At 38.7% G+C, this 12,092-nt stretch overlaps 1 protein-coding gene across 52 annotated transcripts in view; it reads left to right on the forward strand.

The window, feature by feature from the left end:
• Positions 1-12,092, forward strand: part of NRXN3 (neurexin 3) — a 1,697,919-nt gene that overhangs the window by 798,007 nt on the left and 887,820 nt on the right. The gene's annotated exons all lie outside the window — the stretch shown is intronic.

Consider the following 12,092-nt stretch of genomic DNA (forward strand, 5'->3'; position numbering starts at 1 on the left):
CTTGTTGCAAGCACCAAGCCTCTTTGCTGCCTCTGCCACTGCCTCCTTCCTCAGTTGACCAGTCCTGTCTCATTCTCATTTGCCACGTGACATTGCATCACCATCAGTGTTCTCTTGTCACTGGTTTAGTATGTCAAGACATGTGCCACAGGCTCCAGGAATGTATGTTGGCAGATGTTTTCTGAGTATCACATACTTGCCAATAAAAATAAAATAAAATAAAAAACTTCCCTGGCATTGACATCAGGCTTCTTTCAATGTGTACCTTGGCTTCCAGAATGGCTGAAACAGCACTGGAGACTTTTATTTATACTTTAATACATGATGAGGGGAAAACCAGAGATTTTATGTAGATGTCACTAATTAATAAAATGTTTCTTATTTTGGCTGATAGTGACTGCATTATTTAATGCAAATCTAGCAGGCAATAGGAAAACGATGTCCAAATGCCATGATGATGGAAGGGAACTAACATTTACTAAGTACTTACTAATTATCAGGCATTGCTAGGCAGTTCTTTAGTGTGGTATATTGGAACATTATGGGCTTTGATATTAGAAATACCTGGATTCAGCTCCAGGTAGTAGCTCTTGTTAGCTATGTGACATTTGGAAGGTGATGTAACTTCTGTAAGCTATATCTTTCTTACCTATAAAACAGGGCAATAAAACTTACCTTGAATGTAAGGAGATCAGAAATACACATAAAATGCCTGGTATGTAGTAGGTACTCGATAAATGGTAGGCTTATTGTTTACAAATATTATTTTATGTCAAACATCTAATAATACTGCATGTCTACCCATGCAGCACAACAAACCATGCTCAGCCTGTTCCTGTAGATGATCCACTGTCTCTTGAGATACTAAATGAATTTTACAGGTCTTCCTGAATCCAACAATTCTTTGCAGTGTAAACAATCTAGTTTTAACCAGCAGATGGCAGAAGTGAACACATTCAGCCTTCCCTAGTAGTCTTGGGTTGGCTGAAAACGTGACTGTTACCTAACTTGAAAGGCAAAGAAGTTGCCTGACCAAGGATCTATGTAATTATTTCCTTTTTTTCTTTTTGAGCCTTTTGGTTGAGCCTTATGGTCCTGTGTTTGCGCAATATATTGTGTTTCCTTGTATCAGTTGTTAATTTACCACATCAAATCTGTTCATTCCACTTCTGTGTTCAACTTCATGTATCGCTTCTGTTCTTAAACAGCTTCCATCTGGGTTAGCTCATCATCGTAAAGCACACATTTATAAAAGCTTCCTGTCAGCTTATCAGGCTGACTTGGAGTTATGGAAATTGTTTCCCTTTGCCTAAGAGTTATTTTTGTATTTTGCACTAGTAATAGGAATGTTCATTCCTATAACCCACTCCATTTTTCCTTTATCCAGAAATATTTCTTAAATTGTCTTGGCCAAATATGGTGTTTGTACTATGTAGTGTGTGTGTGTGTGTGTGTGTGTGTGTGTGTGTGTGTGTGTATAAAGGGACAGGAGGTTGGGAATCACTAAGCCCTTAAAGCAGCCACTTTGCTCCTAGAAATGAACAATTTCATTCAATCAGGGATTTTTGTCTCCTTGGCTTGCTTTTAGTTCTTTTGTGTATTAAAGGGCAATCCTGGAATAGACGTAGCATTTGGAATTAAATTGTATATAGTGTTTAGAAGATTGTAGAATGGCAGTAATTCCATTTATCCTGGAATAATTAATCATATGAAGTCAAATCACAATATAAGAGCACATATTAGAAAGCGTAAGATACTGGTCAAATGTTACAGAATTTTTATTATGCCATCAGTTCTTCAGATTTAAAAGTTAACAGGAATCATCCATTAACTCTATGTCAGTGTTTTCCAATAGATATATGTAACACATGCAATTATAAATTTCCTAGTAGCTACATTTTAAAAAGGTATAAAGTAACAGGTCAAATTTATTTTAATTTTGTATTTTATTCAATTTAACTAAATATACCCAAAATATTATTTCAGAATGTAATAGAGATAAAATTATCAATATTTTGCACTTTTTTTCACATTAAGCCTCTAAACTTGAGTTTGTATTTTATACTTGCAGCACACCTCAACCCAGGGGCTACATGCATTTAAAGTGCTCAATACACATGTCAATGGCTACTGTATTGGTAGTACAGGTATACAGAATACAAAAATTAAGGTGTAAATAAATAAAGCTATAGTATTGGATTAAAAGGAGGTCTAAGCTTTATAAAAGGGTACTAAAATGTATAATATAAAGGGAGAATGACCTCACTTAAGAGAGTTTTAAGAGAAGCAGTAAGAGCATCAGCAAAAAGAAATTACATAACGAGTTGGGGAAAATGTCCCTATCCCTATCTACAGCTCTATGTGCAGTTTGGCATTACTCATCACATGCATTACAGAGAGCTCCGACCTTCCTCTGAGTATGGTTGATTGTTCAAAGCCGGATATTGTGGCTTGATGGCTCCACCATCTGAATCTATGGTGAGTCCCATGAGCCTAATAGCACTGCACTCTATTGCCATGGAGATAATTACAACGGTTACCCACTGAGCATTATGCCTACCCCGCTGGGTGGGATGAAGTGGAGGGTGAGTGCTGAGGGAAGAAAGTCCTTGTTGATTGTACACAAATGACTTGGATAATTAGCCTAAGTGGCCAGGAAAAATGGCCCAAAATGGGTTAAGGCATAAATTACTGTCATTGGAAGTTTGTACCACTGTGAATAAGCCCTTGCAAGAGATCCCAGGAGCATTTTAGGGTTCTGTGTAAGATGGTGGGGAGGTAAAGGGAGAGCACAAAACACTGGAGACACTGCAAAAAGGCATCATTTTTATTCTGAATCTCTTGTGTAGAGCATGAGACCCCCAAGAAGGCCTTTGAGCATTAGGTAGTATGAGGACCACAGGAAACAGAACAAATTTCTTAATTTATCATTTCTTTTACATAGAACAGTAAACAAGTAGGGGATGAGGTTTTATAACTAAGAACTAAGACCAGAATCTCTTCAAGATATGTTTTATTCTAGCAAATCTAGAATACACAGATAAACATATATATATATATATACACACACACACACAGATAGATAAGTATCTGTATCTATCTACATTTAATATATGTTTCCATCAAAGTCATTGACAATGACACTTTAAGATCCCTAGGTAGTAAATGTGTTACCTTCCCTATTATATCAGACCCATGACAGCAGGTAAAATAAAAGGCAAAAGAGTCCAAAATTATTTTTATTTATTTTATTGATTGAGTGAGTGAGTGAGTGAGACGGAGTTTCGCTCTTGTTGCCCAGGCTGGAGTGCAGTGGCGTGATCTCGGCTCACTGCAACCTCCACCTCCCAGCTTCAAGCGAATCTGCTGCCTCAGCCTCCCAAGTAGCTGGGATTACAGGTGCCCACCACCATACCTGGCTAATTTTTGTGTTTTTAGTAGAGATGGGGTTTTACCATGTTGGCCAGGCTGGTCTCGACCTCTTGATCTCAGGTGATCCACCCACCTCGGCCTCCCAAAGTGGTAGCAAAATTATTTAAAAACTTGCTAATTTAGTACTCTTCAGCTCTCAAGTATGAGTAGCAAAAAAGAAAAAAATCTTGAAACTAGTATTTGATTTTATGTCTCTGATAGATGCAAAGTGTATAATTTAGATATTAAGTGCAATTTCTGGGCAACTCCTAGTCAACATTTAGTTGTAACTTGATACCTCTCAATTTAAGCTAGGGTTTTAAAAAAAATCATACCTGATTTAATATGTGGCTGGTAAATGTATCTTCCTATATTGAGGCCAGCTTTGCTGCAGAGGCCAAGGCATGATCAGCTAGAAATGTGGTTTCACAATTGCAGATGATAAACATCTGAAAGAAATACACGTGCTTTGTTTTGAAACTGGCACGAATAAATAAAAATGACATTAGTCTGGTGCCCTTTTGCCTGCAACTATTTGGGTTTGGATATATTTTTAAAATTAAACAAATTGAGCTTTTTGGTGTTCCCAAATCACCGTGATCCAAATGTCTAATTCCAGTGCCAAATTCCTGGGTGGCATTTGCAAGAGGGCACAAGGGGTGCACTCGAGTGACTCTTTCATGCTGAACTCCTAATGTTTAGAAGTATTTCTATGGGCTCCATCTGATTGCACACACGTGTCTTTCAGTCTGACCGTGCACTCCCTGAGGTTGGCTGTGTGGATGTGAGAAAGCTCTTGTTGCCCTTGTTGCCCGTTGCCTGTGCTTTGTCAAGTCTGATGCGCCCCTGCCCTGCTCTGCTGACTTGGCTCTGAGGAGGCCGGCTCTGTCCCTGGTCTGCGCGTCCCCCTCTGCCCTACTCCCCAACCCCATCTTTGCTGTCTCTGGTGAACCTGTAGAGCATTTCAATTGTCTGTCTGAGTGATGGTTATGCAGATTGCGTTTTCATTTCTGTAATGTTATCCTGGTTTATTCTACCTCTTACTAACCTCTGGTTATTGTTTTCGCTTTTTCTGTTCTTTTGCTAACAAAGTTGCGTTGACCAAAGCTGACCTGCAAGGTAGAGAAGGTTCTTGTTCCCATTACCACTTTGGACTGAAAGATGCCCTGTGTAACCCTTGGTATCTTTTCTTTAGAGATCTTCAAGCTGTCACACCTCTTGGACAGCAGCAATTGTGGGGAGGTGGCTGAACCCTGTGTTCTTCTGAAAGGGTGACAGATAACCCAGATCAATGCATGAAAAATAGCTATCAAGAGGAGACCTCATGGGGGAAGAAACATGATTCCATTTTGGGGGGTACCAAAGAGGTTTGACAGCATCCCATACCGTGACTATACATAAACATATTAATTTACTCTGGAAATGATAAATACCTCTCCAAGTAGTTGCCATGGAGGGGTTGGCTCCTCTTAATTTATTCACCATACATAGAAAAAAGAACTTGGAAGGAAAAAAAAGGCCAAGGCCAGCCCTTATGCCTTAAGTTATTATTTTCTGGATCAGGGAGGTCATTTCCTGGAGCAGGACATTTAAGTACTTGGGCTTTATGAAAGAGAATGTCATTTTCTCTTAACTAGTTTTAAAGTTTTAAATATTTCTGGGCATTTGGGAGACACTAATGTCATTAAAATGTTTCAGAGATTTATATTTTCTATTGGGGATTTTGGTTGAGCACTTTAATTTCCTGTTTTGTGATCGCAGGAAAAAAGTACTCTTGAGGAAGAAGATGATCTGTCATTTTAATCCTGAATACCCTATAAAATACCACATGTGAGATGTTAGTGAATATCTATTGCAGAAACTACTTCATCCACTATTCAAAGAGGCATCTTACAAAGTCAGTAATGGCCCACTGATCCTATGGTGCCATGCTGCTATGTCTCAGAATAACAAGGGAGGAACAAGCATTTTAGGTGTCTTTTGGCTGATTGTCAAGCAGGAGACTGAGCCTCATGACCTCTGCTGAGTTTGCAGTCAGTCCAAATTGTTAGAAGTAGTTAAGGCAAAGGTAACGTTCAAAAAATTACTTTTCATCTAAAAAGATCATTGACTTTGCTGTGACTTTCTTGTTATATGCCATGTAGCTAACCAGTACAAGCGCCTATCTATCCAGAATACATCCACCAATGAAGACTCTGTCACTATTTTACCATAACTTTGTTTTTCTTTATCGCCTCTTAGCAGATTCACATATATTTTAATATATATTTAAATTAAATAAAAGAATATACACTAGTTAGGACTTAAAGTCAGAGGAAGCTTTACAATAGCTTTCAGTTTCAAAGTATAGAGGGCCCTTGTGGCAATACTGTTGTTTTAGACATTATGTTTAATTGTCAAGAAAGATCCACTATGTATTTCTCTGTAAATGGAAGAGAGAGAGAAGGGGGCAGGACTCAATCTGAATGCAAGACAATCCAAGGAGATTGAAGCTCCTTAGGACTGGATTTAGCGGATTAAACTAGACAACTACATCTCTTCCCTGACTTTACTATCACGCAGGGTAAGAACTATATGGATTTTGAATTCCCAGAGCTTAGCATATTCTCTCACCTAGAAAATCTGGACATGGCAAAATAATCTGAAAGTTCTCATCCAAAGGAATAATGGTTTGTAGGGAGAAGTGAGTCATTGATTTCTATGCCTAAAGTAAATTGTTTACCAAAGCGTAGATACAGATTTAGGGACATAGTGGTTTGGAATATATTGATGTTTCCTTTTATGGAAGCTGTCTAGGCATCAATATGGTTTTAACATTATTACTTTATTGGCACGAACTTTCCTCCATTCTTGTAATGACTTGACAGTCTCTTTGTTTGTGGCAGGAGCTGCTTTTTTTTTCGATTATTTGGGGCCGTCTTACTCTTTCCCTGTTTTATAGGAAAAGCTTTTAGTTTTTTGTTTCCTAACATTGGGGTGTGGACTATTACTCACAAGCTGGCTTTTTCAGCTACAACCTGTGAGTATAGATAGTACTAATTACCATGAAGTATGAAGGGTAGTGAAGATATATGACAAGGAAATGAGGCAGTTGGAAGCCTAGACAAAAATGTATTCAGAAGGAAATATAACAATGAGGTGTAAGAAGTGACGTAATGAGTCTAGATGAGTCAACAGCTTAAGTCCTCTTGTTATTGTGTGGTTGGGGTAGTGTTTTATTTTTTATTTAAAAATTTTTAACTTCTCCAGTGAATGTGTTGTTGAATTTAACAGGAAGTTAGTGTCAGCTATGCCTGTGTATCAGGGACTAGGTACTGGGGATGCTAGGATACTGCAGATGAGATGCAGTCTCTAACTTCAAAGAATTCCACAGATGATCAGCCAATAATTACAATGCAAAGTGAAAACTCCTATCCTAGAGACATGCGTCCTGCCATGTGAGCATGAAGGAACACACTGGATCGTGTAGGGTCATGGTGGTCATGGGGAGTGCTCAGGGGATATCTTCTCAGACAGAGTTTGAGCTGAGTCTGAAGGACAAGTATGTTTTAGATGGATGAACGATGGAAGCACATTCGAGAGCTTGGCTTAATTGGGAATCTACAAGAAGCTCAATGTGGCTGAAATAATGTGTGTGGGGGGATATGATAGCACATGAAATGGGAGTGGTAGGATAGAGACAGGTAATGACAGACTTTTCCTGTAAGGAGTTGGACTTTATCCCAAGGATGCTGTGAGGAGGACAGAGATTTGGGTTGGATTTTCATTTTATCAGGATCACTCTGACACTAGAATGGAGAAAGGATGATGCAGACAGAAACTAGAAACAGAGAGCAGATTCAGGAGTGAAGCAGCATATTCCAAGACAGAGGGAAGAGACATGCCCCCAGTGCCTGTTACTTGACTTGGTCAAGGAGGTAAACAAGTTTCCCTTTCACATGAAACCTCAAAGAGCAAGAAAGAAAGTGAACTCTTTCTCCTGTTTGCTGCACACACCCTCTCCACTGCTACACTGTTATTCTGGTTAGTAGCACATGTATTTTCACATTATGACAAAAGATATCAAGAAAGAAGTTTACCGACTTTCCTGGTTTCAGGCCAGAATCTACATCTCTCTAGGTCAACACAGGAGACAGGAGCTCTCCACGGTACTCCTGTGATCCACGGGAGGGAGGTTGCCTTGCTGAGCAGTGCAGTCTTTGTATCAGTGTACCTTGGACAGAATGACAGCTTCTACAGAACATTCAGAAGTAACTTTCTAATTCCTTTTTGTTTTTAAGAAGGGTATTAGTGGAAAGGAAGAGATTTCCTAAAAGCCTATTCATGGAAGAAAGGAGCTGCAGAACTATAAAAGAAATATTAAGATTGACCTGTTTGGTGTGAGGCAGATGACATAAATTATGAGAAATAAAAGAATAACTCTTTTTTGTATTAGGTGATTAATTAGAATCTTCCTATTCCATCTTTAATTATAACTTCTCTTAGCAGGTTTTATTTCTGATGTTTAATGACTTTTTTTCTAGAAATGTAAGGTGTCCCTCTGCCCAGATGGTGAACACGTGGTCAGGGGATCCAGGATCCATTGGATCTGGGTGCTAAGTGCTGGCTATTTTGAGAAAGTCAATCAATGTATTGGGTTCAGATGCCTTGGAAATCTCAAGATTCTTTAAAGGCATTTTAGAACAGAGTTAGAATTAGTCAAACACCTTTAGTTAGGTAAAGGAAATTTTAATTCCCCAACTGTCTTTACTATGATGAATATTGTCCTCCACCTCATTTTCTCCGAAACTGAAGATTGTATCACATTCTCCATTGTATTTTTTGTTATAAAATATAGTACTTGACCTACTATAAGTTCCTCAAAATGCTTTCTATTGTGGAAAATAATAAGAGAGACATAAATTGCAGTGAACTTCCCATTATTGTTCTTGTGTCCTTTTCCTCCACATTATACGAGAGAGGCGTACAACACAACTGTGTCAGTGTGGCACACTACCAAAATGCATCTTGTTTCTGGACTCCTCATCAACTGTACACCCAACTTAAGTGGGAGGAGGAAACCTGATTATTGTCCTTTCTAGCAGAATTGCTGATGATCTTTATTGAGAGTCTCCTTGATGAAGGCATACACTAAGGACTTGGCAGGTTGTATCTCCATTGTGACTACAACCTTAGCTGATAGATACTGTTGTCTGTTTCATAGGTGACTTTATAGGTCTTGCATATGTTCTTTCATTTAATCTTCACACCATATGATGCAGTAGAAATACATATCTCCCTTATACAGATGGGGACACTGAGGTTTAGAGTTTAATATCACCAGCCCAAGGTCACATTACTAGTAAGTGATTAAACTGGATTTTAAAGCCCATGACCTTTCGCCTATTATGCCGTATGGTGTGAGTCTGGGTTTGCTTATTTCCAAAGCAGAAAGAGTACATAGATGACCAGAGAGTATCTGAGAGTGTCCTCCATGCTGACTTTATGGTAGATGGTTTTCATATCAACACCATTTCGAAAAGTTCTAGATAATATTTGCACAATGTTAGAGCAAAGTATTTTAAATTACCTCTTTTTTTGTTGTTGTTGAGACTGGGCTTTGAAACTCCTTCTCTCTCTCTTTTAAAGTATATTCCACTGCCCCAGCAGACCCCTACATCAGTGCCTAGAAAACAAGGAAAAGCAGACAGACTCCTCAGTTTACATTTTCTAAAGAATCATTGACTTATGAGGGATTGTGTATCACTTTGAAAAGAGTTATTTGACCTTTGTGACCCAGGCATCCCATGAAAATAGGGTGGGTTGAGGAAGAAGGCTTCATGCTACCAGCCATCCTCTCACTCTTACAAATACCCTACCTGCAGCAAGTATCAACTCCCACCTCTCTACTGTCATGGAAGGTGCTGTGGGTAAATCACTTTACTCTTAAGCTGTAATTATTCTTTTTAGATCATTGACCATCAAGAGCAGTGCTGTGCTAGAGCTGGCACTGGCACAGGAATTTCTAGGAATTTTGTAAGCCAGTTTACATGAGGCAACATGTTATGGCTTGAAATTGGCTATGAGGGGAGTACTAATAAAACCAACACATGTTACAAATCAGTTTTATTTTCCTTTTCCTGGGGTGCTGGTTGTTAAACATTTACTAGTGATATATCACCAATAAAAGGCCACTGGGGATAAAGATACCATGAAGCCATCTCAGTCAACCAATTCCCATCCATGGCCATAACCAATTTTATACCCAACGTATTATGAGAGGGTTGAAGTGGTTGAAGAGAAAAGGGTGTTAGTGAAACTGCTCCAAATGTTAGATTTTATTCTTTGTCTTTTTCACTGATCACTCTAATCATGTGACCTTTTTAAAACCTCTGTTTGAGAAGAGGAAGCCATAAGCATCTGAACATGCTTGAGAAGAGTGGTTTTGATGCCTTGCTTAGCTTTGGTAAGGCATAGGTCCTGACTTCAAGACAAAAAGCATGATCTTGGGAATACAGCCACCCTTAGGTCTCTCTGACAATGAGATTTTATAATAAGATTTAGGACCCTATTCTCTGGCATTGCCTTATGTTCTATAAAATGTGACCTAGAGTATTCGCGTCTCAGTGGATTCACTTGACATTTTTAAGTGATCATTGCTTTCTTATTTTAAAGCTAAATATAAGTGAATTTGGCTTCCTCCAGTTAAAATGAATAGATCTTATGTTGTCTGTAAATGACTCTCTTCAGAAAAGCCAAGGGGACTCAACACTGTAAATTTAGAAATACTCTGAAAGCTATGGAAGTAGCTTTGCTGAAGGGTCCAAGACATATATTCAGCTAAGTAAATAGGCTATCCTTATTATCAGGAATACCCTCTGTATTAGTTAGGGTTCTCCAGAGAGGTATCATATATATCATATATAGGATATATGCATCTTATATATAATATATAAAATATATATTATTTAGATATATACATCTTATATATAATATATTATATAAAATATATATTATTTATATACATATGTATAAAAATAGGAATTGGCTCACATGATTATGGAGGCCAAGAAACTCCACAGTCCGCTGTCTGTATGCTGGAGAATAAAACAGTTGGATTCTAAAGCCCTGGGAATGGGGGTGGCAGGGGCAGAAGTGGCATGATAGTGTAAGTTCTGCTCTGATTCGAAAAGCCCAAGAACCAGGAGCACAAGTGTCCAATGTCTGAGGGCTAGAGAATATGGCTATCTCACCTCAAGCAAAGAAAGCGAATTCCTCCTTCCTCTGCCTTTTTCTTCTATTCAGAATAGGACCACAACAGATTGGATGATGCCTACTCACACTGGGGACCATCTGCTTTATTCTCTTCACCAGTTAAAATGCTAATCTCATTTGTAAATACCCTCAAAGACATACCTGGAAATAATATTTCATTATTATTATATATAATGACCAGGTATCTGGGCATCCCTTACCTCAGTCATTTTGACACATAAAATTAACCATCACATTCTCCTGAAGACTCTCAACTCTTTAATTTTTATATTTTAGCAGTCGAGACTATAGATTGCTCAGGTAGGCAGTAAGAGTCTTTCATAATCCATTTGCATTTTCAAAAATTTCCCTGTAGGGTTTCTATAGACTTATTTATATGAGACTTATATAAATACACACACATATACATAAATCTATGTATATTCATCTTTTTTCTGTACTTTTTTCCTTCCACCCAACTACTGTTCACTCATTTTTTTCCTATAAAACAATGTAAATTTTAAAATGTGAAAGTAGAAAGATTAGGCACTTACCAGGGGTAGAAAATTAAACTAAAGTTGGAAGATCTCTTTAGACAGTTCATGGCATGTATTATTCTGTTCTCATGCTGCTAATAAAAATATACCCAAGACTGAGTAATTTATAAAGAAAAAGAGACTTAATGTACTCATAGTTCCATGTGGCTGGGCAGGCCTCACAATCATGGCAGAAGGCAAACGAGGAGCAAAGTCACGTCTTACATGGAGGCAGGCAAGAGAGAACTTGTGTAGGGGAACTCCCCTTTATAAACCCATCAGATCTCATGAGACTTATTCACTATCGTGAGAACAGCATGGGAAAGACCTACCCCCATGATTCAATTACCTCCCACCGGGCCCCTCCCACAACATGTGGGAATTAAGGGAGCTACAATTCAAGATGAGATTTGGGTGGGGACACAGCCAACAATATCAGCAACTCTTATAATGCTCCTTCCCATGGAAGCTGTGGTTTGTTGGGACAGGCAAACCCTTTGGTTAACACGGAATTCTACTATGATAACTTCACATTTAGGTTACACCGATAGAGTCTAAGCCCTTTGACTTAAGCCCTTCACTCCTTGTGATTAAAGTTAGTGAATGTTGATAGATCAGCCTCACCTGGTCCCCACTCCTGGGTCACCAGCCTTGGCCCTCTAAAGGAATGGACATTGAGAAGACAAACTTGATATGGCCTCCAGGCCTGTCACTTCTCCTTTTCTCCCTTACCCTCTGCCTGCTGCACCCTACATTTCTCCACCCACTTCTTGTCTGGCTAGAACCAGGTGGTGCTGCTTTAGCACTATTTATGAATTTCAAATTGGGGTGTTTGAGACATAGGTTTGGTTAAGTCTTATTTGGGCAATAACAGAGGGAAAGTGCATTCTGATACTAGTGTTGTGAGCTTTA

Source organism: Homo sapiens, chromosome 14 (genome assembly GCF_000001405.40).
Source record: "Homo sapiens chromosome 14, GRCh38.p14 Primary Assembly".
Taxonomy (NCBI): Eukaryota; Metazoa; Chordata; class Mammalia; order Primates; family Hominidae; genus Homo; species Homo sapiens.